Below are 27,845 nucleotides of genomic sequence, written 5' to 3'. Positions count from 1 at the left end.
TGACGCACACTTGTAATCCCAGCTACTCAGGAGGCTGAGGCAGGAGAATCACTTGAACCCAGGAGGCGGAGGTTGCAGTGAGCCGAGATCTCGCCACTGCACTGCAGCCTGGGTGACAAAAACAACAACAACAAACAAACACACACACACACACAAAAAGCTTGTAGAGGCAACAGCCTACCCTGTGTCTCCTTCCTTAGCTTCTCATTCCTCTCACTCCTCAACCCCTGCAGCTTGGCTGCTGTCCCCTGCAACCTACGCCTCCCTCCTGGTGCCTCCAGCAGTTTTGCTAACTCCAACTGTGCTTCCCTGTCTCAGCCTCATCTTTCCGGCCCTTCCTGCAACATGTAGCTCTGTTATTCCCTCCCTCTTCCTTGAAACACTGTTCTTCCCTTGGCTCCTGTGACACCACACGCCCCTGTTTTTCTAAAACCCACATCTGGTTGGTCAGTTAAAGGCCTTCTGCGGCTCTAAACTCTGTATGGTTGTTCCACCCCTGCCCGCTTGGCCAGGGCCGCTGCTCCATGTGGCATCCTGTGCTCCCTGCAGTGGGTGACTGTGCCTTTCTGCTGTTAGGGTTGCCAGATTCCATAAGTGGGACAAACTGAAACTCACTGTTTATCTGAAATTTATTTTCTGTTTTATTTATTTATTTTTTAGACAGGGTCTCGCTCTGTAGCACTCTGCTGGAGTGCAGTGCAGTGGCACGATCTCGACTCACTGCAACCTCTGCCTCCTGGGTTTAAGTGATTCTCCTGCCTCAGCCTCCCAAGTAGGTAGGATTACAGCTGCGCACCACCACGCCCGACTACCATTTATCTGAAATTTAAATTTAACTGGCCAGGCACAGTGGCTCACGCCTGTAATCCCAGCACTTTGGGAGGCTGAGGCACGTGGATCACATGAGGTCAAGAGTTTAAGACCAGCCTGGCCAACATGGTGAAACCCTGTCTCTACTAAAAATACAAAAATTAGCCGGGCGTGGTGGTGGGCATCTATAATCCCAGCTACTCAGGAGGATGAGGCAGGAGAATCGCTTGAACCTGGGAGGAAAAAAAAAATAAAATAATAAAATAAAATAATTTGAGAGAGAGTCTTGTTCTGTCTCCAGGCTGGAGTGCAGTGGCACCATCCTGGCCCACTGCAACCTCCCCCTGCCAAGTTCAAGCTATTCTCCTGCCTCAGCCTCCCGAGTAGCTGGGATTACAGGCGTGCACCACCACACCTGGCTAATTTTTGTATTTTTAGTAGAGACAAGGTTTCACCATGTTGGTCAGGCTGGTCTCAAACTCCTGATCTTAAGTGATGCCCTCGCCTTGGCCTCCCAAAGTGCTGGGATTACAGGCATGAGCCACCATGCCCAGCCGTCTTGTATTTTTATGTGCTAAATTTGGCACCAGCTTGGTGCCTGGTGTAAAGCACACACTCAGTAAATGTTAGCTGAAGGAATATGGGCAGTGATGGCGGCAGGCACAGGTGCTGTAGGGCACAAAAGAAGCAAGGTCCCTAGAGGAGGTAACACCTGAGCCCTGCAGATGGAACTATTAGGTCATACACCAACAGCCCCTCCATGGAGATATCTCCCACAGTGGGTTGAATAGAATCCCCCCAGATTATATGTTCAAGTCCTAACCATCCCCCTACCCTGTATCTGTGAATGTGACCTTAATTGGAAATAGAGTCTTGCAGATGTAATTAAGTTAAAGCTCTTGGGATGAGATCATCCTGGATTTAGGGTGGGCCCTAAATCCAATGACTGGTGTCCTTAGAAGAGAAAGCAGAGGGAGATTTGAGATACAGCAGGAAGACAGCCATGTGAAGCCGGAGCCGGAGACTGGAACGAGGCAACTAGGAGTCAAGGACTGCCAAGGAGAGAGGCACGCAGTGGGTTTTCCCTCAGAGCCTAGAAAAGGAACCAGCTCTGCCAACACCTTGATTTTGAGCTTCTGGGAGAACTGGGACAAAACGAATTGCTGTTGTTTTAAGCCATCTGGTTTGTGATACTTCATTAGGGCAGCCCGGGAAAACTAACACACTCCCAAGGCTCCATGTTTCCCAAAATCTCTGTTTCTTCTTTCAGGACCTCCACCCCCAGAACCCTCTCTAGTACCAGACCTCTTATCCGGCCTGTGTAGCCAGCCACCAACATGGCCCCAGTAATCTTTTGTTGTAGTAGTTGTTATTTTTTTAAGACAGAATCTCGCCCTGTTGCCCAGGCTGGAGTGCAATGGGGCGATCTCGGCTCATTGCAACTTCCGCCTCCTGGATTCAAGTGATTCTCCTGCCTCAGCCTCTCAAGTAGCTGGGATTACAGGCATGTGCCACCATGCCCAGCTAATTTTTTTTGTATTTGTAGTAGAGACGGGGTTTCACCATGTTGGCTAGGCTGATTTCGAATGCCTGATCTGAGGTGATCCACCCACCTCAGCCTCCCAAAGTACTGGGATTACAAGCATGAGCCACCGCACCCGGCCTCTGTTTTTTTTTTTTTTTTTTTTTTGAGACAGAGTCTTGCTCTGTCGCCAGGCTGGAGTGCAGTGGTGCCATCTCGGCTCAATGCAACCTCCACCTCCTGGGTTCAGACAATTCTTCTGCCTCAGTCTCCCAAGTAGCTGGGACTACAGGCGCCCGCCACCATGCCCGGCTATTTTTTGTATTTTTAGTAGAGGCGGAGTTTCACCATGTTGGCCAGGCTGGCTTCGAACTCCTGACCTCATGATCCGCCCACCTTGGCCTCCCAAAGTGCTGGGATTACAGGTGTGAGCCACCGCGCCCGGCGCCTCTGTTCTTTATAACCCAGTCTCAGATGTTCTGTTACAGCAGCACAATGGACTAAGACAACGGCAGAACCCCGCCTTTGCTCGGGTGATGGGTAGGGGTCATGGCAGGTGTGCTGGAGTACAAGCACCATGGGTCTAATCCAAGCCTAGGAATCCTGTTCTCCTTTGAGGGATTGGTTTAAGGGACTTGGGGCTGTTCTGGGATTCCTGGGAAGGGTTGTTCTTCCTGATAGATAACAAGACAAATGCCAAGGAGAGAGTCCGTGCTCCCTGCCCCTCCTCTCCCACTCTGGAAATTGTCCTCAGAGGATGGGATGCTTGGAGCAGCTGCAGCCATCTAGTGATCATGAGGAGAAATCTGATACGTGGAAGGGACAATGCTGAGAAAGGAGAAGCACCTGAGACCTCGATGACCACTGAGCCTCTGTCAGTGGTGACACTGACCTCCTGACTCCTTAGGAAAGGTAAAATGCCTGCTTTGCCCAAGTCATCACTGAGTGGCTGTTCCTCTACTTGCAGCCACATGCATCTTAACTGAAAGGGAGGGGACACAAGATTTTGAAAATATGTCTCTGGTATCACCCAGCTTGGGACTGGCTCTCAGCTCTGCCACCATCAAGCTGTGTGATCTTAGGCAGGTGACCTGAAGCCTCAGCCTTTCGTCTGGAAAATAGGGCTGCTATGGGGGAAAAATGGGATAACCCAGGTAAGGCATTTTGCACATGGTGGTTGGTATATATATGCATTCATTTCATTTGTTTATTCCTCCACTAATTTATTTAACAATGGTATTTAAACACCTACTATATACTTGCACTAATAGGGTTTGGGAATGTAGTTGTGAAAAACTAACTAATAAGCACTTGAAATTGGCTCTTACTTCTACTATTATTACAAGACTTTGCCTTCAAGGAGCAGGTCCTGATATGTTGGTAAAATCAAGATAGGTTTGGCAGAAGTGATCTTCTTGGACCTACCAGTGTGGGTATCTGTAGTGAGAGGGGCTGGGGGCAGTTAGGGAGGGGAGGAGCAGTTAGGAAGGGGGCTGGGGGCAGTTAGGGAGCTGGGGGCTGTTAGGGAGCTGGGAGCAGTTAGGAAGGGCTTTCCTGGGGAAGTGGTGCTTGGGACACCTGAGGCTGATTCTCCCAGCAACCATTAGTTAAGCACCCACTGTGTATCAGCCACTGTGAAACTGTGTAAGTTGCTGGGGTAAGACAGGTGCCCCACCCTCTGGGCTCACAGCCTCCAGTAGGTGATAAAAAGGTATGTGGGGTCAGGTGCAGTGGCTCATACCTGTAATCCCAGAACTTTGGGAGGCTGAGGCGGGCAGATCACTTGAGCCCAGGAGTTCAATACTAGGCTGGGCAGCATAGCAAGACCCCGTCTCTATAAAAAATAAAAAGTTAATTGGGTGTGGTGGCACACACCTGTAGTCCCAGCTACCCAGGAGGCTGAGGTGAGAGGAATGCTTGAGCCGGGGAGATTGAGGCTGAGTAAGCTGTGATCTTGCCACTGCACTCCAGCCTGGGTGACTCAATGAGACCCTGCCTCAAAAAAACACAAAAAAACAAAAAACAAAAGCCAGTAGGTGGTTCCATTAGATCGTGATAAGTGATGAGATAGGGAGGGGGCAGATGTCCTGCAGAAGGTGATATCTGAGCTTCATTTCGAAAGGTAAGTAAGAATTAGACAGCAAGGGGGCCAGGCACAGTGGTTCATGCCTGTAATCCCAGCACTTTGGGAGGCCAAGGTGGGTGGATCACGTGAGGCCAGGAGTTTGGGTGGATCACATGAGGTCAGCAGTACAAGACCCATGGTGAAACCCCGTCTCTACTAAAAATACAAAAAAATTACCCAGGCATGGTGGCATGCGCCTAGCAATCCCAGCTACTCGAGAGACTGAGATAGGAGAACCATTTGAACCTTGGAGGCAGAGGTTGCAGTGAGCCGAGATCGCGCCACTGCACTCCAGCCTGGGCAACAGAGTGAGACTGTCTCAAAATAAATAAATAAATGAAAACAAACAACAACAACAAAAAAAACAAAACAAAAAAAAAAAACAGGCCAGGCACAGTGGCTCATGCCTGCAGCACTTTGGGAGGCCGAGGTGGGTGGATCGTGAGGTCAGGAGTTCAAGACCAGCCTGGCCAAGATGATGAAATCCCATCTCCACTAAAAATACAAAAAATTAGCCAGTGTGGTGGCGAGCGCCTGTAATCCCAGCTACTCAGGAGGCTGAGGCGGAGAATTGCTTGAACCTGGGAGGTGGAGGTTGTGGTGAGCCGAGATCACGTCACTGCTGAACAGCGAGACTCTGTCTCAAACAAACAAACAAACAAAAAAAAAAAAAGAGAGAGAGAGAGAATTAGACAGCAAGGAAAGGAGGAGCTTCATTCCAGGTATTGTATATATAAAGACTTGGAGGAAAGAGAGGGGACTCAGGGCATCCTGGGCATTTCCAGTTGCTGAGTGTAGCTAAGGCATATCGTTAAGTGGGATAGTGTTGAGAGGTGTATTATTTCTGAGGCTTTGATTGCAAGTGACAGAAAACAGAAATCAACCAGGCTTAAACAATAAGGAAAAAATGTATTGGCCTACTCCTTACATAACTAAAAGGTCCAGAGGTTCAGGCCAGGTGTGGTGGCTCACGCCTGTAATCCCAGCACTTTGGGAGGCTGAGGAGGGCAGATCACCTGAGGTCAGGAGTTCGAGATCAGCCTGACTAACATGGTGAAACCCCGTCTCTACTAAAAATACAAAAAATTAGCCGGGCATGGTGGTGGGTGCCTGTAATCCCAGTTATTCGGGAGGTCGAGGCAGGAGAATTGCTTGAACCTGGGAGGTGGAGGTTGCAGTGAGCCAAGATTGGGCCATTGCACTCCAGCCTGGGCGACAAGAGCAAAAGTGCATCTCAAAAATAAAAATAAAAGGTCCAGAGGTTCAGTGACTTCAAGTGAGGTTGGTTGGGTGACTTTTTCTCCTCCACCTCCGGGTTCAGGTGATTCTCATGCCTCAGACTCCCATCTTTTTTTTTTTTTTGAGACAGGGTCTCACCCTGTCGCCCAGGCTGGAGTGCAGTGGCACACTCATGGCTTCTGGGTTCAAGCGATCCTCCCACCTCAGCCTCCCTAGTAGCTGGGACCACAGGCACGTGCCACCACACCTGGCTAATTTTTTTTTTTTTGTAGAGGCAGGGGTCTTGTCATGTTGCCCAAGGTGGTCACGAACTCCTAGTTTCAAGCGATTCACCCACCTCTGCCTCCCAAAGTTCTTGGATTACAGTGTGAGCCACTGCACCTGGCCTTGGGTGGCTTTTTCCATCTCCTCGTGGTATTCTCCATAGTGTTGGCTTTCCCCGAAGATCAAAGATGGCAGCCAACACTCCTGTGCTCAGCTTCCTGGTCTTTTGTCTTACATTTACAACATGCTGATTGGACCAGCTTTGGTTTCTAGTTCATTTCTGAAGCATTCATGGTATCCAGGGCCTTGGGAAAGGCTGGCATTGGCATGGGATCAACGCCATAGCACCACATGGATCCCCAAACAAAAAAGGGGAATGGGGATGGATGTCAGGGGACCAGATTTTGAAGGAGATAAGTCATGCTAAGGAGCTTGATCTTAATCCAAGGATAATGAGAAGCAGAGGATTGACTTGATCAGATTGGGTTTTAGAAAGATCACCCTGGAGGCTGGGCGCAGTGGCTCACACCTGTAATCCCAGCAGTTTGGGAGGCTGAGGCAGGTGGATCGCCTGAGGTCAGGAGTTTGGGACCAGCCTGGCCAACACGGTGAAACCCCGGCTGTACTAAAAATACAAAAAAATTAGCTGGGCGTGGTGGCAGGCACCTGTAATCCCAGCTACTCGGGAGGCTGAGGCAGGAGAATCGCTTGAACCCAGGAGGTGGAGGTTGCAGTGAGCCAAGATCGCGCCATTGCACTCCAGCCTGGGCAACAAGAGCGAAACTCCATCTCAAAAAAAAAAAATCACCTTGGCTGGGCATGGTAGCATGTGCCTGTAATCACGGTGACTCAGGAGGCTGAGACAGGAGGGCAGCTTCAGTCCAGGAGTCCAAGACCAGCATGGGCCTTATAGGGAGACTGTATCTCAAAAAATAAAAAAGAAAGATCACCCTGGCTGTCGAATAAAGAACAGATTAGAGGAAGTCAAGAGAGGAGGCAGAGAGTCCAGTGGGGGGACTCTTTCAGGAATAGGATGAAGGCCAGGAGGGGCAGTGGGAGAAGGGACTTCACAAGAGTTGGAGACTGATAGATCAGGAAGTAAAGGAGAGGGAAGAGTGGAGGGCCACTCCCAGGTTTCTACTTTGGATCCCAATGGGGAGAGACATAAAGGGTCTGTAATCCCAGAAATTTGGGAAGCCTAGGTAGGCAGATCACTTCAGGTCAGGATTACGAGACCAGCCTGGCCAGCATGGTGAAACCCCGTCTCTACTAAAAATACAAAAAAATTGTCAGGTATGGTGGTGCATGCCTGTAATCCCAGCTACTCAGGAGACTGAGGCAGGAGAATTGCTTTAACCTGGGAGGTGGAGATTGCAGTGAGCCAAGATCATGCCACCAGACTCCAGCCTGGGCAACAGAGTGAGACTCCTTCTCAAAAAATAAAATAAAATAGACCGGGCATGGTGGCTCACGCCTGTTATCCCAGGACTTTGGGAGGCTGAGGTGGGCACATCACCAGAGGTTGGGAGTTTGAGACCAGCCTGACTAACATGGAGAAACCCTGTCTCTACTAAAAATACAAAATTAGCCGGGCGTGGTAGCACATGCCTGTAATTCCAGCTACTCGGGAGGCTGAGGCAGGAGAATCGCTTGAACCCAGGAGGCGGAGGTTGTGGTGAGCCAAGATCGTGCCATTGCACTCCAGCCTGGGCAACAAGAGTGAAACTCCGCCTCAATGAATAAATAAAATAAAAGGAAGAGGGATAGGGAAGGGGCAGGCTGGGCACATGGTGGTGAAGATTGGTGAAGATTCAGAGATGGTTTTGGACAGGCCTGGGGGACAGCAAGTGATGCTGAGTCCAGAAGGCAATTGGTAGGATATAGGGTTCACAGCCTGGGGTCAGGGGTCTGGGCTGGGGAAGGAGGGGGCTATCCACAGCCCACGGTTTGATATATCTCAGCCAGGGGAATTGAGGGAGTGGATGGAGCCCAAAGGACCCACATAAAGGGTTTGAAGTCCAGCCAGGAAGGGAGCCAGGGAGGAGCTCACATCCTGGAGCTAGAGGTGGCCCTGTCTGTCCAGTCCTGCCCAGAGATGAAGTGAGAACATACCCGCTAAATGTCCTTTGGGTTTAGAGATAACAAAGTCACTGGTGACCTTGGAGGAACGGTTTCTGTGGAGTAGTGGAGTTGGGGAGTGAGTGGGAGGTGAGGACAGGGATGGAGGGGTGTGAACATCTCTTTAAGAAGCACTTTTTTTTTTTAAGGCAGCAATACTGCTAGCTGAAAGGGGCAACTAAGGTGAACATGGGATGAAGGGAGGGTTGGGAGTGGGGTACGGGAGGTGCAGGGGTGTGTGTGTGTTTAGGATGAATGGACTTAAGCAGGTTCATGTGATGAGGGGGGAAGACAAACATGAGTAAGGAGAGGAAAATGAAAATCAAGGTGCTCAGGATTGGGGTGTGTGTGTGTGGTGGGGCTGGCACTGAGGGTGATGCAAAGCCTGGGAGTGAGGTTGGCCTTGAAGGGGGAAGGTCCATCTATGCTACAGGGAGGGGAAGGAGCAGACAAAGGCCATGAAGGGGTTCCTCCCAGATGGCCTCACTTCCCTCTGGAAGTGGGAGGCAAGGTCCTATGCTAAGAGCCATATGGTGGCTGGAGTGGTGGAGGGGGACTGTGGGGAGAGCAGGAAGGGTACTCACTGCTCAGCCAGAAGTCCTGGATGTGCCCTGGCAGAGCAGAGCACCCAGCAGCCCTGAGGGAAGGGCTGGGCATGGGGCATGCAGATGGGTGAGCCAGGCCAGGGTTTGCAGGGTGGGTGGAGCATCCTGGGCCACCAGGTGAGGCTCAGAGAATGGTGAGCCACCTGTTTGGCTGGATCATACATGGGCTAGAAACCCCTTGAGTACTGGGCTGTGAGACCTTTTCCTGGAAGGCAATAGGGAACCGTGGAAGGCTGAGAAGGAATGGGATATAATCGAAGCTATATTTAAAAATTTGTATTCAGTGGCCTGGCGCAGTGGCTCACACTTGTAATCCCAACACTTTGGGAGCCAAGGCAGGTGAATTGCTTGAGATCAGGAGTTCCAGACCCGCCTGGCCAAAATGGCAAAACCCCGTCTCTACCAAAAACACAAAAATGAGCCAGGCGTGGTGGCGCATGTCTGTAATCCCCACTACTCGGGAGGCTGAGGCAAAAGAATCGCTTAAACCTGGGAGGCAGAGGTTACAGTGAGCCGAGCTCATACCACTACATTTCAGCCTGGGCAACAGAGCAAGAGTTGGTCTAGAAAAAAAATATTTGTATTATGTGTGTATAGTGTATAATTAGAGTGATTAGAGAGGTCAGACTGAAGGCTGAAGTTCCAGATACCTATCTGGAACTGCTGACATGTCTAAAGGGAGTATCTTAGTCCATTTTGTGTTGCTGTAACAGAATACCTGAGACTGGGTAGTTTACAAACAAAAAAGTTTATTTGGCTCACAGTTTGGGAGGCTGGGAAGTCCAAGAGCATGGTGCTGGAATCTGGTGAGGACCTTCTTGCTGCATCCTCACATGGCAGCAGGAACTCACATGCAGGGTGGGATTAGGGGGCCAAACTCATCTTTTATCTAGAACCCACTCCCTCAATAACTAACCCACTCTTGAGATAATGGCATTAATCCATTCCTGAGGGCACTGCCTCATGCCCAAAGGTCCCACCTCTCAACACTGTTGTAGTAGGGATTAAGTTTCCAACACATGGACTTTGTGGGAAATGTTCAACCCATAGTTGAGAAGATGTGAAGTGTCCAATGTCATGGAGCAGCTTCTTGCTCCAGAGGTCAGACCCAGGAGCTCAAGGTGGGGCTGGCCCGAACTGGTCCACTGGGCATGGGCTGCCTCATGGAGCAGTGAGCCATGGGCAGAGGGGGCCCTGCTGGGGGTGCTCAAGAGGGGAGCACGGCTTCAGATGAAAGCCAGCATTGATGTTGTTACTCCATTCCATGTGAGATGTCCTTGGATCTTCCTAACAGTCAATGAGGTCAGGATCATCTTGCCCTTTTAGAGATGAAGGACTGAGGCTCAGAGAAGCCAAGTAATTCACCTAAGGCCACGTAGCTAGCAAGAAGCGGAGCCAGGACTCAACCTAAGTCTGAGCTCCTGCCACTTCTCTAGGGACCTCTGGTCCACCTGACTGCACTGGAGGGTGATGGGTGGTTCTGGGGCAGGCCTTGCTGGGGGTGGATTTAAGGCTCAATGACTCCAATGGCCCAGGGGGACCATGATCCAGGCACTTCCCCAGGAACATGGCGCCAGGCTCAGCCTCTCTGGGAGGACATTTGTTCCCAGACTGAGGTGGGACCCCCTTGGTCCATGCGGTCACCGCCAGAGGGCGCAGCTGTTGTCCAGGTGAGGGCAAGGGGAGGCCCCCCACCCCCAATCCCAGTTTCCGGAGAAACCAAGCAGGCTCCCCCTCATGGAGTCTGGGAGCTCCTGTCACCTCTCATCTCAACCCGAGGTCTTGCTGACCCTTCCCCAGGGATGTCAGATTTGCTCAGGGAATCAGATTTCCCCCACGTGGGTGTCTGAAGCCTGGAGTCTCCTTGCTGACCCCGCGCCTGGTCTGCTGCATCCTCCCCCAAGGGCCACTCCCAGATGTGCCTGTCTTGCCTCCCTCTGCCGCCTCCTTGCACGGCCACCGTGCCGGGGTGGTGCCAAGCGCCAGATTGCCACCTCTGTCACCTCTTTCAGCTTCTTCACAACCCTGGGTGGGGGGTGAGGTGGGGTGGGGGAAGGAGTGCCGGCTAGGCCAGGGGGTTCACTGACAGGGCCCAGAAAAGGGGAGGGCAGCACCCTGGGCCACACAGCCTGCCCAGGGCCCCAGTGGGCGGCAGGGGAGGGAGGAACCGAATTCCTGTCTGGGCAGGACTGAGAGGGTGGGGGCCCCAGAGGGAGCTGCCATGGTCCTTCCACTCTAGCCCACCTCCTCCATTTCCCCAGGGTCACCTCCCGCCAGGCCCCCAGTCGATGGAAGCACCTCCCCCCAGCCCCCTAATTGCTCAGCCAGGTTTTGGCTCGGATCCCACCACACTCCCTCCCCAACCCCGGGGCCCTCCCGCTGCCTCTCTCCCTCCCCAAGTTTAGCCCCTTGGCTGTGGCCACTGATGGCCTGGCCAGGGTCCCAGGCAACACACCACAGCGGCCAGGCTCGCTGGGCCGGAGCTCGGGACAGTCCCAGTCTGTCTGGCAGGGCTGGCGGGCTTGGGATTGGCTGGAGCTGCCCCCGCCTGCGGGAGGAGGGAGCGGCAAGGGGAGGCCGGATGGCTTGCCCAAGGTCACCCTCCTTTTCCCTCCCAGCATCCCTGTTCAACCTTTGTCCCCTCGGCCTCACCTTGAGGAAGGAGGAAGCAAGAAACCCAGCAGGCAGAGCGCAGAGAAGCCCGGTGAAGGCAAAGGGCTTCCGACACTTATTCATTCAGCAAACACTGAGTGCCTACTGTATGCCAGGCCCCGAAAGCACAGCAGCAAACAGAGCCCCTGCCCTCATGGGGACACAGCCCAGCCAGAGACAGGCAAGGAAACCACCACAGGCATCATATAGACTTGTGTCTCTGAGCTGTGTGTGTGGCAAGGGCGCTGAGTGGGACTCGGCCTGGCTAGGGCCGGCTTCCCTGGGGACTGGAGGGGTGAGGAGCCTTTTCTGGCCCAGGCAAGGGATGCAGCTTCTGGCGGAGGCCTGTGTAGGGGCTGTGCAAGACCTCAGTTTCCTCATCTGGCACACCGTAGGAAATAAATGTGCCCTGATCACACTTGCTTCCAGGCGGCCTGCGTCCTGGCCTGCAGCCCTCGAAAAGAAGGCGCTGTCGCTTCCAGTGGAAGGGTGAGCCCGAGCTCATCGGCGAAAATGGCGGGGAGGGCATTCCCGGGAGCCCTCCGGCTCGCGCCAAGCTCGGAGGTAGCTCGGGTAGGTGAGGGCCCCGGGTTCTCGGCCGCGCTGCCCAGCTTCCTTGGCCCCTTCCGCTGCCTCAGGCTGCAGGAGAGGAGGGGCTGGTCCCCGGGCTGCCTCTCCTTCCCTCCCCTCCCACACCCCCATGTTCCTGGCCACGTGGCACCTCTGTGCCCCAGGCCTGGGGGAGGACGATTTCTGACCTGGGGACAAGTGGAGCCAGGGAAAGGTGGGTGGGATCTGGGATAACCGCGGAGCCCGGATCCGGTGGCGCAGCCCCGCCCCGCAGCCCCGGGGCGGCAGGGAGGGGGTGCTGTCTCTTTAAGAGCCTTCATGCTGCTGGGAGCAGATGGCCAGGCCGGCCGGGGCCCCTTGTCCTTTGTGTGGCTTCGCACAAAAGAGGGGGCCAGCTGGGGAGGGGGCGGCTGTAGCAGGTGGGAGGGGTGGGGCCTTGCCCCTCCCCCTTCTAACCCTGCACCCTTGCCCCTCCATGAGGGGGTTCTTCACTAGGAATGCGCCTTCCCTCTGGACCCCGTGGCCCCCACAGTCGCCCCCAAACTCCTAGGACACACTTCCTGTGTCGTGGCCCACCTCCTAGGCAGAAGCCTCATTGCATCAGGGCCTAGGGACTCTCCCAACCCCCGCCCCAAGGAATAAACCTCCCCTCCCTGTCCCCACCTCCAGAGCAGAGTCTTCCTTTGGCCCAGAGTGCCTGGCTCTAGATAGAAATGAAGAGAATGAGGTTCTTAGGAGGCGGGGAAGAGGGATGCTGGGCCGGAGGGAATCCAGTGGCTGGGGATCCCTGCTAGAGAGACTGGGGGTACCTGGGGCAGCCCTGGAGTAGGGAGGCAAGAAATAAGCAGGATGCTGAGCCTGGGGGTGCAGGTTTGAGTCTGGGAAGGAGGCAAGGGGGATGGGGGACTCAACTGAGGCCCTGCCTAATAGGGGGCGGGGGCAAGATGGAAGACAGCACCGTAGGAGAGGCTGGTGTGCAGCAATGGTTGCCTGCCAGGCAGGAGGGGACAGAAATGAGAGTCTCTCCAAAGGGTGGAGGTGCTGGGGACAGGGATGGCGCCCTGCCACTTAGGAGGGGTCGGCCTGGGAAGACTCTCAGTCTTGAATCAGACCTCCTTAGCTCAGACCAGCCCCTGGTCCATTCATTCTCCTTTGTCCAGACCTCCCCACCCTGGGGCTTGGTGCCCAATCCATGATTTAAGAGGAGGATAAAGGCCCCGTAGCCCTGGCCCGAGGTGTGGCGGGCAACGTGGCCGCTGGCTGGGTGGCCCCATGTGGCTCGACGGCGCAGCAGCCGGGTGGGGTCGAGCCTGGCTTTCCCTGGCTGTCCGCAGGAGTCCCCGGGAACAAGCGGCCCCAGCCGGGTCGTGGCCCGACCGCAACACCCCGGCCACTCGGCCGCAGGCAGCGGGTGGGGGCAGGGATCCCTGGCTGGGCCCTAGGCTGCTTCTAAATTTAGGAATCTGATTACAGAGTGGACCAGGAAGGGAAGGGAGAGGAGGGCGCGAGTGCGGGCTCGGCTCAGTCTGGGCACAGCGGGGTGTGCCTGGGTGGAGGTGTGTCCAGGAGACTGGGGCTCCGGGTGGGAGGGGCGGCGGGCGGGGGCTTCAGCTTGTGTGCGCTGCAGCACGTGCCCCGGGCGGCGGGGACGGGCACGGGCGCAGCTCGCAGGCTCGGAGCCGCCGCCGGTGTGTGCGCTGGCTCTTTGTGTGCCTGGCAGGGTGGCTGGGTCTGGCTTTGAAAGTCTCTGCCCACCCCCTCCCCCATCTCCGTCTGTGCCGCTCTACCCGCTTCCCTGTCTGTCACTCTGCCCGTGCTTGTCCGGGGGGAGGGGGATGCTGCTTCCAGCTGGGGTGACAGTGAACCCAGTGGGGAGGAGACCCAGCTCCTCTCTCCCCTGCAGCCCAGACCTTCCCCTACACCTCCCACTCCCCATCCCTCAGCCCTTGCTACCACTGTTTAGGGGTGCATACTGCAGCAGTTAAAGGGAATTGGGGCGACCCTTGGGGACCCACAGATCCACCAGAAGCCAGCCTCTGGCTGGGTAGCTCTTGGAGGAATTCATTCCTTGCCTGTCCAGCCTCCCATCCGTTCTGGCCCCCAAGGGCGCATAAGGGGGGTCCCCCCTGCGGAAGGGGGGGCGGGGAGTTCCTTGGCAGGAAGGGAAATGGAAGGAAAAGCTGGGCTCCACCCGGGCGGGCGGGCAGGCGGCCCCAGGGCCCCCGGGGCAGGCGGCAGTAACCCGAGCCCACTGGTGTGTGGTGTTGGTGTGCGCGTGGGTGGGGCTGACCCCTGGCTACTCCTGGGGGGCAGTGGGGTCTCCCCCAGGGGCAAGTCTGGGAGCCCAGGGACGCGAGGGGAGCCCCCGCAGCGGGACGCGCGCCCCACCAGGGTCCTGATCCCACCCCCTGGAGGTCTGGCCCCGGCCCCCTGGCCCCGCCCCCCGGGCCCTCCCTCCCACCCCAGGGCCAGATGTTCAGCTGGCGGAGGCATCGGCTGGGGGAGGGGTGCTGAGGCCGCAGCCGGCACTACTTCCCTGCCAGCAGCTTCATTGTGTGCGCGAGGAGCGAGCGGCGGCGGAGAGCGGGCGAGCAAGCGGCATCCCGAGCGCGGCGGGGAGAGCGAGCGCGCCGGGGAGGGTGCGAGGCGGCACCCGCGGCTGCGCTCCGCCCGCCTCCCGGCAACTCTGCCCAGCGCCGCGCGCCGTGCGCGCCGTCCCGCCGCCGTCGCCGCCGCCGCCGCCGCCGGTGCCCCGGCCGGCTGCCGTCGCGGGCAGGGGTCTGCTTAGGACACGGGTCCCCGCCCGGGGACTGGGGCATCCCCGGCGCAGCTGAGAGGCGCAGAGCCCGGGGGGCGCAGATTGCGCTCCAGCGCCCAGCCGCTGAACGGCGTGGGCAGGTGGGCGGTGGGGTTCCAGGGCGCCCCGAGGACAGGGGGCCCCGACTTCAGGGGAACCCCAACCCTGAGGGGCGTACATAGTAATCACGCCCCAGCCGCACCGGACCTTGCGCTCATCCCTTGCGTCCCCCACTTCTGCACAAACTTTTCTGACGCCCTGGCTCGTGGGGGTCGTGGAGAGCGCTGGGGCTACCAGGTGGGCTCCCACCCCGCCGGACCCTAGCCACGCTGACCTCCTGCCTCTCCTAACCTCAGTGGCGACCTCTCCAGGCCGGGCCGGGCTCGGCACTCGGAGCGAGTGCGGCAACCACTGTCGCTCTCCGAAGGCTCCTGCGCCCCCCGGGGCAGCTGGGCGGGGTAATGCCCTCAGTGATGGAGAAGCCGAGCGCGGGCTCTGGGATCCTGTCCCGTAGCCGGGCCAAGACGGTGCCCAACGGCGGACAGCCCCACTCGGAGGATGACAGCAGCGAGGAGGAGCACTCGCACGGTGAGCCCGGTGGCCTAGGGTTAAAGGCGCGCCGGCCTGGGGGGAGCGGAGTGGGGCGGGAGGGGGAAGAGTTGCAGACCACGAGCCTGTTACACTGATGGCTCCTGCCTCTCCTGGATTGGAGCCTCTGCGTTGCTTCTCCCACAAACCCAGGCTGCCGGCACAGCCAATCTGGAACCTGGGCCCCTAGCTGCTGTGGAGGCGTCCTGCCGGCCCCTGCCCTGCCCTCACCCCCTCAGGGACCGAGGCATCCCTCCCTTGCATAGAGTGGGTCCCTCATACCTTGCCACCTTGCAGGGGACTGAGGTCTGGCTGGAGCAGGGACTGGAGAGACACCTCCACACAGAGCTGTGAGGCTCCTGTGGTGGGAAGGAGCCTTGGGTTCCTTGCAGGGCTGTGGTCCAGGTCTAGGGGCTGCCCTCCAACCCCGCTCCCCTCCCCCGGAACAAAGCACCCTGCTTGGCCTGGGCTCTAAAACTGTCCCCTTGTCCACCCTCCAGCCCCAATGGCCATGGCTGGACAGGGTCTTTTCCTCTTCCAGTCCCTTCTGTGGCTGCAGGTAACTGGGGTACAATGAGGGAAAAGTGAGCCTCCTGGAAGGTGGGGGCCCTGGGTGGTCAGGAAGGAGAACTCCAGGCCGGCCACCTCCCCCGCCCGCCACATCCTCCCTCCCGCCCGCCCTCCCTGGAGTCCTGACTGCCTCCCCCTGGCTCCACAGACAGCATGATCCGCGTTGGAACCAATTACCAGGCCGTAATTCCGGAGTGCAAGCCTGGTGAGCCGCAGGACAGGCTGTGAAGTGGGGTGGGGGTGGAGGCCCGGGGCTTGGCCTGCAGCCCCACCTGGGGCGCCCTTGATTGGCTCCCCTGGAAGGGCAGGCTGGCAGGGGTGGGTGGCCCCCCAGCATGGTTTGCTTTCCTGCCCTGCCTTCCTGTCTGGGTCTCTGCCCCTCCTTCCCTTCTGGGCCTCAACCTCCCTGGCTCCACTCCTCTGCTGCCCTCTGGCCATGGGTCTAGGCTTGTGCCACCAGGCTGATCTGAGTGTCTTCCCTCCTGCTCCTCGGCCTTTCAGAGAGCCCCGCACGCTACAGCAACAAGGAGCTGAAGGGGATGCTGGTGTGGTCACCCAACCACTGTGTGTCAGATGCCAAGCGTGAGTGGGGCACAGCCCTGGGAGGTGGGGGCTTGGGTTCATCCCAGCTCCAAGCTAGCTCTTCTCAGAAGGGGGCTGGAAGCTGAGGTGTTCGTGGGTCCAACCCTTGCCCTGGGGCTCGTGTTCAGGGACCTGGCCGTTGTGGGGTGGTCCCTTTCTGGACAGGCCTGGGTTAGGAGCTATAACCCCCTTCACCAAGACCCTGCCCCTGCTGCCCCTGCAGTTGACAAGTACATTGCGATGGCCAAGGAGAAGCATGGCTACAACATTGAGCAGGTGAGCCTTGGCCCCCAGGGACTTGGGAATGGGGTGGAACGGTGCCGGGGCAGCTCAGGCTCAGCTGCCCCTTGCCCCGGGCCAGGCGCTGGGCATGCTTCTGTGGCATAAGCACGATGTGGAGAAGTCGCTGGCCGACCTGGCCAACTTCACCCCATTCCCTGACGAGTGGACAGTAGAGGACAAGGTGCTGTTTGAACAGGCCTTTGGCTTCCATGGCAAATGCTTCCAGCGGATCCAGCAGATGGTAAAGCCCTTCCACCCCCACTCCCCGGCGCTCCTCTGCCCCTCCTTTCTGAAGAGCTTACCTGGGGCCCAGAGTCTTGAGTGGTCCCCAGCTTCTGGCGTTGCCTCCTCCAGCTGCCTGACAAGTTGATTCCCAGCCTGGTGAAATACTACTACTCTTGGAAGAAGACCCGCAGCCGAACTAGTGTGATGGACAGACAGGCCCGGCGGCTGGGGGGCCGCAAGGACAAAGAAGACAGGTGGGGGCAGGAGCAAGCACTGGGCATGGGGGTAGGTAGAGCTCCTGGCAGCTGCCTCATTCCCTCCCTGGCCCCTGTGTCAGCAGTGATGAGCTCGAAGAGGGTCGAGGAGGCGTGAGTGAGGGAGAGCCCGATCCTGCAGATCCCAAGAGAGAGGTGAGCTCCCAGAGCCTCTGGGCCCTGCCTGCCTGTCCTCTTGCCTCTCTCTGGCTCTGCACCACCTACCTGCCTCTCCTTTCACTGGCAGCCTCTACCCTCTCGGCCCCTGAATGCACGCCCAGGCCCTGGGAAAAAGGAGGTCCAGGTGTCTCAGTACCGCCACCATCCCTTGCGAACCCGGCGTCGCCCACCCAAGGGCATGTACCTGAGCCCTGAAGGCCTCACGGCAGTGTCAGGAAGCCCGGACCTTGCCAACCTCACGCTCCGAGGTCTTGACTCTCAGCTCATCTCCCTCAAGCGCCAGGTGGGGCCCTGGGAAATGAACGGGCTATGCAAAGGTGGCATTCGGCACCTGGGAACTGAAGTCTAGGGGGAGCTGAGGTGTAAGCGAGATGGTTCAGGGGCCGAGCCCCATCCTCTGGGACTCTGAGTAATGTGGTGTTCTTTTTGGGCCTTCTCTTAAAAACTGGTCTGCAGGCTGGGTGCGCTGGCTCACGCCTGTAATCCAGGCATTCCGGGGGACTGAGGCCGGCGGATCACCTGAGGTACACAGTTCAAGACCATCCTGGCCAACATAGTGAAACCTGTCTCTACTAAAAATACAAAAATTAGCTGGGCGTGGTGGCACACACCTGTAATCCCAGCTACTCGGGAGGCTGAGACAGGAGAGTCTCTTGAACTTGGGAGGCGGAGGTTGCAGTGAGCTGAGATTGCACCACTGCACTCCAGCCTGGGCGACAGAGTGAGATTCCGTCTCAAAAAAAAATAGGCCGAGCACGGTGGCTCATACCTGTAATCCCAGCACTTTGGGAGGCTGAGGTGGGTGGATCACCTGAGGTCGGGAGTTCGAGACCAGCCTGACCAACATGGAGAAACCCTGTCTCTACTAAAAAAAAATACAAAATTAGCCAGGTGTGGTAGCAGGCGCTTGTAATCCCAGCTACTCAGGAGGCTGAGGCAGGAGAATCGCTTGAACCCGGGAGGCAGAGGTTTTGGTGAGCTGAGATTGCGCCATTGCACTCCAACCTGGGTAACAAGAATAAAACTCCTTCTCAAAAAAAAAAAAAAAAAAATATATATATATATATATATATAAAAAATAAAAATATAAACTGGTCTGCAGAAAGGGGAGAACCCCAGCGGCTCCCCTACTGAGTAGTTGTTTAGGAGGAACAAGCCAGATGGTGGATGGCAGAAAGCTTTGCCGGGGCAGTGGTGCTGGTGTCTGTGCAGAAGTAGGGTCCTGTGAGGGGCATAGTGGCCTGCCTGAGATGGGAGTCTGATATTCCTCCACTTCCTGGCCTTCCCAGGTACAGAGCATGAAGCAGACGAACAGCAGCCTGCGCCAAGCCCTGGAGGGCGGTATTGATCCACTACGCCCCCCGGAGGTATGGCTGCTCTTTAAGTTAGGGTGCAAAGGGGGGTTTCTCTCTGGAGGCAGAGCAGAAAGAGTACTGCTTGGGGAGCAGGGCTTCCATTTGCATGGTTTTGAGTCTAAAGGATATGTTGTTCCTTGCTTTCCAGGCCAACACCAAGTTCAACTCCCGCTGGACCACAGATGAGCAGCTTTTGGCTGTTCAAGGTGGGTTAAACTGTGGTGAGAAGAGAGGACCCCAGGAATCTATCTCCCCACCCTCCAAGGAGTGGGGGGGCAGAGGGGAAGGGTCAGGGAAGTAACTAGTTCGAAGGGGTATTGACGCTGCTGCCCTTTTGACCCTTGCAGCCATCCGTAGGTATGGCAAAGACTTTGGGGCTATTGCAGAGGTGATTGGGAACAAGACTCTGACCCAGGTGAAGACTTTCTTTGTGAGCTACCGGCGCCGCTTCAATCTGGAGGAGGTGCTGCAGGAATGGGAGGCTGAGCAGGATGGGGCCCCTGGAGCCCCAGTCCCCATGGAGGAGGCTAGGAGAGGGGCTCCATTGCCAGCCCCAGCCCTAGAGGAAGATGATGAGGTGAGAAGGGGGTGAGAGAAACCCCTCAGAGAGGAGAGGCGAGGCGAGGTGAGGCGCCGCCTTGGTCCTTAGACTGGGCTGAGGGCGGGAAGAGCCTGGCTTCTCACTCTTTCCTCTCCCCTCAGGTCCAGATTACATCGGTCTCCACGTCCGTGCCCCGATCAGTGCCCCCTGCGCCACCACCCCCTCCACCTCCCACCTCGCTGTCCCAGCCACCCCCGCTGCTGAGGCCACCTTTGCCCACGGCTCCCACTCTGCTCCGACAGCCACCCCCACTGCAGCAGGGCCGCTTCCTCCAGCCCCGGCTGGCCCCCAACCAGCCCCCACCGCCTCTCATCCGCCCCGCTCTGGCTGCCCCCCGCCACAGCGCCCGCCCTGGCCCTCAGCCCCCACCCACCCTGATTGGAACCCCTCTGGAGCCCCCAGCACCCTCACTCTGAGCCCTGACGTCCTCCACCAACCACGGGCTCCAGGACCCCTTTGCTGGCCATCCCCAGGCATCTCTGGTGTCACTGAGGACAGAAGGGACTAGGGCTCTGGCGGGGTCTTTGTAAGACCAGAGTTTCGGACAGCCCAGCCCCGCCCTTTGGGTTCTGCATGTGTTCCTGGCAGCTGGGCCTGTCTCCTGGGGCCATGGCCGGGCTCAGGGGCCTTTGAGCTGGCCTGAGGGCACTTTCGCTTCCTGGCCGGTACTGGAATGGCTGTGTCCTAGTCTGCTGGGGCTTGGCCTCTGGGTCCTGCCCTTTGTGTGTCCGGGGTAGTGACCTTAGCGTGGAGTGGGGAGAGGGCAGTTGGGTGTGCTGGCTGTTCTCATTCCTCTTTCCCTTCTTTTAGCAATAAGTCTGGGGTGAGGTGGGGAGGGAGGCTGCAGGGGGGGAGGTGGGCAGAGGGGCCTTACAGCAGCAGAGGCTGGAAGAGAAGCTCTGTCTTCAGGGGCCAGCTGGGAAATGCTAAGGAGCTGAGGGTGCCCACCAAGCCCACCTTCCAGAAACTTGGAGAAATGGGGGTTGGGAACTTATGCAGACATGGATTTATTTTTCAACATTTTTTAAAAATTAAAAAAAATAAAATCTAAGCTTACTGAGTTTTCTTTCCCTTTTGGTGCAAGGGCCCTGGGCTTTGCTTCCTGTCTGTGCCCTGTGGGTAAGTGGGGAGCTGGGCCCACCCAGCACTGGCCCCAGACAGGAATCAAGTCTCTCCTGCAAGGCAGGTGGGCTAGGCCACATCTTGCCCACAGGAGACTGGGTCCCTGCCTGGCTGGGAGAAGAAACAGGAGGAGGCAGCTCAGATTCCAAACATTCTCTTTATTACGTGTTTGATCCAGAGGAGAAACTAAGTGCAGGGTTGGGGAGGAGGGGGCTAGACGGGGAGGGGCCACCTTGCCTGGGTGCCCCGGGCCCCTACCCCCTTTGGGAGCCAAGCCATGCCCTCCCAGCCCCCTCAGAGCACCCGGGCTGTTCCATAGGGCAGGAGGGGGGAAGGGAGGGAGGGGGAGCCCTTGGTCTGAGCCGCAGTAGGAGTGTGGGGCAGGAGGGCTGAGGTTGGCAAGGCCCCTTCCTAGGACGCAAGGGCTCGGCTTAATCGCTGAGCCTGGCCTGGGAGCGGGGGTGATGAAGAGGGGTGGAGTCATCATAAATCAAAAAAAAAAAAAATAAAATAAAATAATAAAAAATAAAACCCATCACAAAAAAATGTACAACTCAGGTGAGGGTAGGGGCAGCCTCTGTGTAGGACTCCCACCCCCAATTTCTCAAGAACAGAAACAGCAGAGAAATAAATTAAGGGATGCAGTGGCCACCACCAGCCAAGCGCCCCAAACCGCCCACGCCCACACTGGCCACTGAGGGTAGCAAGCTGGGAGTCGCTTAGCCTATCTGTCCCCCACCCTGTGGAGGGCAGACGCTCCCGGCCCTGCTGCCTAACTCAGCCTTCTGCCAGGTGGCCCTCGGCAGTGTCTCCTGAGAGGAGGGGGCGACAGTGTCAGGAAGAAAAGGCAAGGCTGAGAGATGAGAGTGGTGAGGGAAGTCACTGCTATGGAGAGAGCTGGTGCCCAGATTAATGCCAATGAAGGGGAAGCCATGGGGAGAGGAAGGGCGAGGGGGCTGTGCTTTCAGACAAAGGCTCCCCCATCACAGAGTGCCCAGTGGCCCTGCTCTGGAGACCAACAGCCCAAGCGGCCCCCTGGGGACCGAGAAGCCAGTCTGCCCTCCAGTCCCCTCCCCTCTCCCAGCCCTGGGGTCAGCCCCTCCTTCTACCCGGGAGGGGTGGGAGAAGATGGCACAGACTTTGAGGGAACACACGTCCCCACAGCAGCTTGTGGAAGGAAATGCCCAGCTCTGGGGAGGAGGGGCAGAGGGTACAGTGTGGAGGGAGGCGGAGCCTTGTGCCGGCCCTCCAGCCTCAGCAGCCCCGGAGCAGCCCCCAGCCCCACCCACTGCAGGGCTGCGCAGCACCCCCGCCCCCTGCCCCACCGCCCAGGCCTCCAGCCCAGGGGCCTGAGGTCAGGGGAAGGCCACCTCTGGTGGTTTGCTTGGAGGGGAAGGAGGGAGGAGAGGGGAGAAGCCCACAGTGGGCCTGGCGGAGGGCCTGACGGGAGCTCCACCACTCTTGCCTGAGAGTGTTCCAGCCCTGAGCCACCCTCCCGGGAAACCCCACAGATCCAGTCTCGACTGTCCCAATGGGGCAGGGAGGAAAGGTGGCCGCTGGGATTTTTTTTTTCTTTTTTCTTTTTGGTAATAAAAAATTTCTTGGTTTAGGCGAAATACTCTGTGCAACCGCAGTACCGAGGGGGAGCCCTGCCCCCCCATCCACCCTCCCCTTCCTTTGCCTCCAGTAGGGGAGAGGAGAAGGGGGAATCTCTGGGCAGGGGTGAATGTGGGGTGCTGGAGAACAATCTCCCACCCCCCACAAACATGTAAGAGAAAACTGAGAAGGGCCAGGGAGGGGAGAAGTGCCAGCAGGGGAGACACACCAATCCATCGCTGCAGTCTCGCCCAGGTGGGGCGGCGCAGCGGCCGGCAGCCCGTCCAGCTGGCCCGCCCCCGCCGCCCCCGCTCCTGGCAGCCTGTTAAAGCTTCAGCTCGTTGGCTATTTTGGAGGCAATGTTTTTGAAGGCCATGGAGGTGCCCGATATCCGCTTAAATCGAACCCCGTTGAGAGAGAGCCGCGGCAGTTTGCACACCTCCATCTCCCACTGCACGAAGTCCTCGTGGCCCGGCGTGCCGTGCATGCACAGCAGCATGTACTTCTCATGCAGCTCGCTCTGGCAGCTGTTCGCGTCCAGCACCTTGCGGATCTCCCGCATCATCTCGTTGGGCTCCATGGAGCTCGTGGTCTTCATACTCCACGTGAAGCGGAGGGAGCGGGGCTTGGCCTCCCGAAATTCTTCCTTTTCTTTGTCGTTGCCGCCACTGCCCACCACGTGAGGTCTGTGGAGAGGGCAGAGGCGGGCGTCACGGGGGGGCTGAGGCACCCCACCCCAGGAGAGCCACCCTGGCAGACAGCCCCTGAGCCCAGAGAGGAGAGCGGGAGGGAGCAGGAGCAGCCAGGCGTGGCCCCTGGCCTGCGGGGGCGGAGGGTGGCAGTCCTCCAACCCCCATCTCTCAGGACAGCGAAGGGGAGGAGAAGCCAGCCTTGGGGTAGGCGGGGTGGGGTCAGGGAAGACACCAGTGCCCTCAACAGCACGAGCACAGACTCTCTCTCCAGAAAGAAGCCTCCGAGCACAGGGAGGTGGGATAGTCCAGGGGTAGGAATCTGTAGCCCCAACCACCCGACCCAGAACTCCGACTTCCAGAATATACCAGACCTGAGGAGAAGGGCCCGTAACTCCTGCAATTGGGTTTGGGAAGGGGAAACTCTCTGAGGAAAGGGAGGCCCCAGAGGGTAGGGACAGGGCAGAACCACGGGAGGAAGAGCCAAGTGGCAGAAGGAAGAGAGGAGCAGGAGGCTGTGGCAAGCCCGGTGGCCCGGGCAGGGCCAGTGCTGGCTCCAGCCCTCTCACCTGAGCGTCTCCACTCGGTCTTTGCTTTCAGGTTCATTCAGGTTCCTCAAAAAACAGAGCGAGGGAGAGTTTAGTGCTGGGATCTCTCGCTCCTTCCGCCGCCACAGACCCAGATGAGAGTGGGTCTGGGGAGGTGCCACCAGTGGGTGGGCAGGACCCAAGCCCAGGGCCCTCTGCCCATCACCTGGCAAGCCAACAGGGCTCTGCAGCACCTCACACTGGCGGCTCAACCATTCCTTTCCAGCAGGGAGCCCAGCACATGGGGCTTGTCCCTCCCCACATTCCCAGATCTGTGCCGGGGAGAAGGAGCCTCTGCTCTGGGGGAGGAGGGGGAGTGGCTGTGCACGCACTTCACTGAGCACACTGAGCACACGGCCCGGCACGAGGCTGCTCCCCCACAGCCAGGGCTCACGCGCTGTTCTGGGGGTTGCAGGTGTGAGTGCGTTTTTGGAGCCACACGCTAGGGTCTCAGGACTGCAGTCCTTTTGGAGGAAAGGGGCTGCAATGCTTTGAATCTCTGTAGGAGGAGGGGCCGTGGCTACGCAAGGGCCTGTCAGGAGACTCAAAGTGCCAAGGCCTGGGTCTGCATGGTAGGCACCTGGGGATGGCTTCCTGCTGCTGAGTGGAAAAGGCGGCCTCCTCCGACCTTTCCCAACTCCCCTACCTGCTGGCCTGCCAGGCCATCTGCTCATACGCAGGGAGGATGAGGGTGGGGTGGGGCAGGGCAGGGCAGACACCTTGGTTGGGTGGGTGGGGAAGAGGTCTGGCCCCGCTGAGCGGCTTCTCCAGCTCCTGGCTGGAAGATGGGTGTCTGGAGCTAGGAAACTGGGGATTGCAGAGGAGGAAGGATATGAGAGGAAGGAGGAAGAGCAGCAGCACATAGAAATAAACAGGAAGACACAACCAACACAGGGGTGCACACAAGCGCACTGCGAGCAGGGAGCCCGGCTGTGCGAGGAAGGCACCCTCCCTGCTCTCTCCAGACCCCCTGTGGGGCAGCCCCCTGCTGGGGCCCCTTGAGGCAGCAGCCAGTCATGCAGTCAACAGCTGGGTGGGAGGAGGAGGGGATAGGGAAAGCCTGAAGACCCTGTCTGGACGTTCCTCCATCAGCTGTGGCACCAATGTGCCTGCCAGGCATCCCAGTCCCAATGCAGGGCCTGAGCAGACAGCCTTGGGGAACAAGCACTCTTAACCTGGCCCTTGGTCTTCAGCTTGGTATTTGGTCCCCGAGGCCTGCAGAGAGGATGAGCATAAGGCCAGGGGTGAAAGAGCCAGGAAGGGGACTGTGAAGGGAGACCCCTGAGTAAGGGTGCAGAGATCTCCTGTTGTTTTGCTACGGCTTGGGGTAGAATGGCCGTTGCCCTAGAATGTCCCAGCTCCCCGCACTTTGGAAGAGACAGGCCATATCTGGAGAAAACAGCCTAGAGGAGAAGAGGCTTGATTTATCCAGATGCTGCTGGTGGCAGGGGTGCTGGGGCAGGGGTGCGGGTGGGTGGGGCTAGTTCTGCAGGAGCTGCCAGGAGGGGGTGCTGTGCTCCATTTGTGAGACAAAAGCTCCTAAGGTCTGGGGGAGCCAGACTGAAACCTTGGGGCCCCAGGGTCCCCGTAGTGTCTCCAAAGTCCTGCGATCCCATAGGCCACGGGGAAGAGGTCACATAGCTCTGAAGTTCAGGAAACCCAGGAGACAACAAACAAGATACCATCCCAGATGCACTTGTAACCCTGGAGCTTCCTCATAGCGCATGCACATGACAAGGGAAAGGGCAGGAAAGGATCCCAACACTTGTGACCAAAACCTGGGGTGAGAGGGAGTGGGGGTGGGGTGGGGTGGGTGAGAGGAGACAATCTTAAAGGGAGGCTTCCCTGAGACAGTCTCCCCTTACTTGAGGACAGGCGTTAACTGTGGGCCCAAGGAAGGCCCTCATTTTTAAAGCCATTTGCCCTGAGTGGGCCAATGTGGCCTCTTAGCCCTGCCTGTTTGTACTGGGGGCACGGAGGGCAGGCCTTGTGCTGATGCCCAATCAGAGGCAGTCTTCATCCCTTTAAGATGGCAGAGAGAGGAGGGCCACACAGACTTGGTTAAGCAGATGGAGGAGAGTAAGAGCCAGAAAAGGGGAGTTAGTGATGGAGGCAGGACACAGGACACAGACACACACACACACACACACACACAGCGGGCTCAACGCCTACCTTCTGGCAAACCTGAAAGACAGATTTCTAAAAAAACAAACAAAAAAAAGACAAAATAAAAAAAGAAATAAAAAAAAAACCAACAAGACGGTATGTGGATAAGCAGGTGGGGGAGGTGGCTTTACAGGTTCAAGGGTCATCCCATTTTCGGAAGAGCCGCTCAGCGAGACTAGAGTCCCAGGCTTTCAGACCTGCCCACACTCTCTGCAGGCCTCACACTTGCATTCTGGGGCTCGGATGGGGCAGTGGCTTTGGCTCCTCCAGCAGAGTGGAGTGAAACGTAGAGGAAGGGCAGGCGAGCCTGTTCTCTCAAAGCCCCTGCTGCTTCCTGAGCTGCTACTCCAAGGCAGGGAGAGGAATGGCAGGATGGGGATGCGGAGCATCCCAGGAGGCCAGCCAGTTGGCTGGATGCACTTCAAGCTGCACCTCTGTGGTGGCTGGGGGCTCAGGTGTGAGAAACCCCGTGAAGAGATCCCCACCCTGGGTCCAACACAGGAAACCTTTGGCACATCGGAGTTAGGTTAGGGAAGAGGCCACTGTAGGCCCTCGCCAGTGATTTCATTTATAGGTTTCACCCTAAAACCCCCGGGCAGAAGGGCATGGCTGCGCCTGCAGCCAGAAACAGAACCAACTAGTGGGAGAGGCAGTCAAAGGGGCAAGAGACCAGGACAAAATTTTCCTTGCTGGCCCCAGCCTGGCTCATGCCTCATGACTTTGCAGCTGCGTCACCAAATATAAGTTTCCATGGGAACCCAGGAGAGAAGGGGGGGCTTTTATTTTAGCATCTGAGTTCACACTCTCCTAGAGAGGAGGCGGCATCGGCCATCTGCTTGGGGCCAGAGAATGAGGGGTGCCTGTGAGGAGTTGGGGAGAGGCCTAAGAGGGGTGGGCCTGGGCACATAAGGTGTTGACAAAGACCTAATTTCTTGTGCTTCCTGAAGCCTCTTCTAACCCCAGGACCCAATACCGGTACAGAGTGTCCCAAACCCCAACCCCCAACCCCCAACCCACCCCGAGTAAAGCAGGAAGGCCTGGCCTGAGCCTCTCTGCCACCCAAAGCTCCTTGCTTACCTGCGTACAAACTTGGAGGTGAACTTGCTGAAGATGCTCCCAGAGGCCCCCCGCCGGCCCTGGCTGTGGCCAGAGGGAGAGGCTGGGGTCACACCGTAGGGCAAATTCTGCTGGTCCCGCACCTGTCGGAGCTGCCCAGCATGGAAGGTGCTTCGGCTGGACACACCCCGGGGGAAGTTAGTTCGGTCTGGGGCTCCACCACTGCTGCTGATGTTGTGGGCGGATGGGGAGGCAACAGGGACACGCTGGGGGGCTGTGCTGTGGGAAGAGAAGTGGGGTTGAGGGGGACGAATTAGGGTACAGGACAGCCATCACTGGGCACCTGGACACCCTGTGGTGGGGACAGGGAGGGGGATGCTAGGGCAGAGGCAGCCATCACGAGGACACAGAAGGAAGGGTGTGACTACTGAGGACAGTGGTGAGAAGGAAGTCTCGTGGAAGTGGAAGGAGATGGTTTGGGAAGGGAGGGAGGGAGGCAAGGAAGGACCCCTGTGTGGAGTGTGGTTTAGGCTGGAGACAGCGGGCTCCCTGGGAGCCGGGCAGACTGGACCCTCAAGGCGGCAATGGGGACCAACCCTTGAGGATTGAGTCCCTGTGATGCCGACTATCCCCGGGGTCCCTAAGGAAACCCTGGAAGGTTCAGAACAAAAAGGTTTCCCTTTGGAGCCTTAGGACAGCTTCCTGCATACCTGTTCTGAGAGGGAGAACTGGAAAAGAGGGGCATTAATGCTCTTTTTTGTTCCCTCCACTTCCTGGCCGCAGGGGACAGACCCATTTCTTGTGGCTAAGATGACAAGAACACAGCAGGACCCCCAAGTGGGAAGAAGAAATTGTTGGGGCAAGGGGGTAGGGTGGGCTGAGGGCAGCAGGTGCACCAGCTGCCCCAGCACACTTGCCTGGGCCGCGGCACCTCACAGTTACTCTCCGTGGGGGGCAGCCCAGAGGCCTTGTTGGGGTGCACGGAGGCCGACATGGATTTCTGGTGCTGGCGGGGCCGGGCCGCAGAGACTGCGGCAGAAGCAGAAGCCGTGGAGGCCCGGGACCCTGGCATGGTTAGGCTAGGAAACAAAAGCAGCGGAGAGGCCCGTGTTAGGGGTGAGTGAGGGCGGGAGGCCTGGATTAGGAAGCAAGGGCAGGGGAAGGGCCAGAGCTGGGGAGCTCTGGCAGGGTAGAAGTCAGGCCTGGGCAGCAGCGGGATGCAAGTCAGAACTGAGGAATGCGGGGCTGAGAAGTGGAGGTGAGTGAGGTCGGGAAGCAGCGAGGTGGGTC

General features: G+C 57.7%; 2 protein-coding genes across 8 annotated transcripts in view, besides 9 other annotated features; one reads left to right on the top strand and one right to left on the bottom strand.

Moving 5' to 3' along the window:
• Positions 1–3,857: 3,857 nt before the first annotated feature.
• On the top strand, positions 3,858–20,390 carry RCOR2 (REST corepressor 2). 3 transcript variants are annotated; one of them, XM_047426828.1, is made up of 14 exons: positions 3,858–4,454; positions 11,302–11,824; positions 15,059–15,290; positions 16,009–16,065; positions 16,362–16,442; positions 16,666–16,718; positions 16,804–16,965; positions 17,079–17,203; positions 17,290–17,359; positions 17,451–17,666; positions 18,673–18,750; positions 18,887–18,944; positions 19,086–19,315; positions 19,441–20,390. In XM_047426828.1, exons 2-14 carry the CDS (start codon positions 11,738–11,740, stop codon positions 19,753–19,755), a joined length of 1,764 nt encoding a protein of 587 aa, XP_047282784.1. In that variant the 5' UTR covers positions 3,858–4,454; positions 11,302–11,737; the 3' UTR covers positions 19,756–20,390. The 3 variants fall into 3 exon arrangements, with proteins under 3 accessions (XP_047282784.1, NP_775858.2, NP_001350577.1); NM_173587.4 differs by lacking the exons at positions 3,858–4,454; positions 11,302–11,824 and having other exon boundaries at positions 14,456–15,290; NM_001363648.2 differs by lacking the exons at positions 3,858–4,454; positions 11,302–11,824; positions 19,086–19,315 and having other exon boundaries at positions 14,456–15,290.
• Positions 10,081–10,741: an enhancer, noted in NCBI's record as "H3K4me1 hESC enhancer chr11:63688351-63689011 (GRCh37/hg19 assembly coordinates)". NCBI's record gives its function as "activates a minimal SCP1, AML or CMV promoter by ChIP-STARR-seq in primed H9 embryonic stem cells {active_cell/tissue: H9 hESC(primed)}" and the evidence as "EXISTENCE:reporter gene assay evidence [ECO:0000049][PMID:30033119]".
• Positions 10,742–11,404: an enhancer, noted in NCBI's record as "NANOG-H3K27ac-H3K4me1 hESC enhancer chr11:63687688-63688350 (GRCh37/hg19 assembly coordinates)". NCBI's record gives its function as "activates a minimal SCP1, AML or CMV promoter by ChIP-STARR-seq in primed H9 embryonic stem cells {active_cell/tissue: H9 hESC(primed)}" and the evidence as "EXISTENCE:reporter gene assay evidence [ECO:0000049][PMID:30033119]".
• Positions 13,578–13,627: a silencer, noted in NCBI's record as "silent region_3450". NCBI's record gives its function as "represses an Ori minimal core promoter by ATAC-STARR-seq in GM12878 lymphoblastoid cells {active_cell/tissue: GM12878}" and the evidence as "EXISTENCE:reporter gene assay evidence [ECO:0000049][PMID:35858748]".
• Positions 14,305–14,364: a silencer, noted in NCBI's record as "silent region_3449". NCBI's record gives its function as "represses an Ori minimal core promoter by ATAC-STARR-seq in GM12878 lymphoblastoid cells {active_cell/tissue: GM12878}" and the evidence as "EXISTENCE:reporter gene assay evidence [ECO:0000049][PMID:35858748]".
• Positions 14,505–14,624: a silencer, noted in NCBI's record as "silent region_3448". NCBI's record gives its function as "represses an Ori minimal core promoter by ATAC-STARR-seq in GM12878 lymphoblastoid cells {active_cell/tissue: GM12878}" and the evidence as "EXISTENCE:reporter gene assay evidence [ECO:0000049][PMID:35858748]".
• Positions 14,716–15,379: an enhancer, noted in NCBI's record as "H3K27ac hESC enhancer chr11:63683713-63684376 (GRCh37/hg19 assembly coordinates)". NCBI's record gives its function as "activates a minimal SCP1, AML or CMV promoter by ChIP-STARR-seq in naive H9 embryonic stem cells {active_cell/tissue: H9 hESC(naive)}" and the evidence as "EXISTENCE:reporter gene assay evidence [ECO:0000049][PMID:30033119]".
• Positions 16,001–16,953: an enhancer, noted in NCBI's record as "H3K4me1 hESC enhancer chr11:63682139-63683091 (GRCh37/hg19 assembly coordinates)". NCBI's record gives its function as "activates a minimal SCP1, AML or CMV promoter by ChIP-STARR-seq in primed H9 embryonic stem cells {active_cell/tissue: H9 hESC(primed)}" and the evidence as "EXISTENCE:reporter gene assay evidence [ECO:0000049][PMID:30033119]".
• MARK2 (microtubule affinity regulating kinase 2) overlaps positions 20,600–27,845 on the bottom strand; it is a 71,911-nt gene continuing 64,665 nt past the window's right edge. Inside the window, exons 15-19 of one of the 5 annotated variants that reach the window (NM_001039469.3) lie at positions 27,473–27,634; positions 26,577–26,834; positions 25,506–25,532; positions 23,316–23,360; positions 20,600–22,743 (exon numbers count right to left, since the gene is read on the bottom strand). In NM_001039469.3, coding sequence (NP_001034558.2) covers positions 22,383–22,743; positions 23,316–23,360; positions 25,506–25,532; positions 26,577–26,834; positions 27,473–27,634 — 853 coding nt within the window. In that variant the 3' untranslated portion in view covers positions 20,600–22,382. The remainder of the gene's footprint in view (positions 22,744–23,315; positions 23,361–25,505; positions 25,533–26,576; positions 26,835–27,472; positions 27,635–27,845) is intronic. The other 4 variants (NM_017490.4, NM_001163296.2, NM_004954.5 and 1 more) reach the window with 4 other exon arrangements.
• Positions 21,069–21,363: a silencer, noted in NCBI's record as "tiled region #844; HepG2 Repressive non-DNase unmatched - State 18:Pol2, and K562 Repressive non-DNase unmatched - State 18:Pol2". NCBI's record gives its function as "represses a minimal TATA promoter and a strong SV40 promoter by Sharpr-MPRA in HepG2 and K562 cells {active_cell/tissue: HepG2 | K562}" and the evidence as "EXISTENCE:reporter gene assay evidence [ECO:0000049][PMID:27701403]".
• Positions 23,486–24,159: an enhancer, noted in NCBI's record as "H3K4me1 hESC enhancer chr11:63674933-63675606 (GRCh37/hg19 assembly coordinates)". NCBI's record gives its function as "activates a minimal SCP1, AML or CMV promoter by ChIP-STARR-seq in naive H9 embryonic stem cells {active_cell/tissue: H9 hESC(naive)}" and the evidence as "EXISTENCE:reporter gene assay evidence [ECO:0000049][PMID:30033119]".

Source organism: Homo sapiens, chromosome 11 (assembly GCF_000001405.40).
Source record: "Homo sapiens chromosome 11, GRCh38.p14 Primary Assembly".
Classification (NCBI taxonomy): domain Eukaryota; kingdom Metazoa; phylum Chordata; class Mammalia; order Primates; family Hominidae; genus Homo; species Homo sapiens.
This window is presented reverse-complemented; position numbering and strand designations above follow the sequence as displayed.

Excerpts from the sequence above, each read along its gene's own strand:
- RCOR2 (XM_047426828.1), top strand. The coding sequence starts at position 11,738 with ATGTGCCCTGATCACACTTGCTTCCAGGCGGCCTGCGTCCTGGCCTGC. Across the intron at positions 17,360-17,450 it reads CTGCAGATCCCAAGAGAGAG|CCTCTACCCTCTCGGCCCCT; the intron begins GTGAGCTCCCAG and ends TTTCACTGGCAG. Across the intron at positions 18,751-18,886 it reads ATCCACTACGCCCCCCGGAG|GCCAACACCAAGTTCAACTC; the intron begins GTATGGCTGCTC and ends CTTGCTTTCCAG.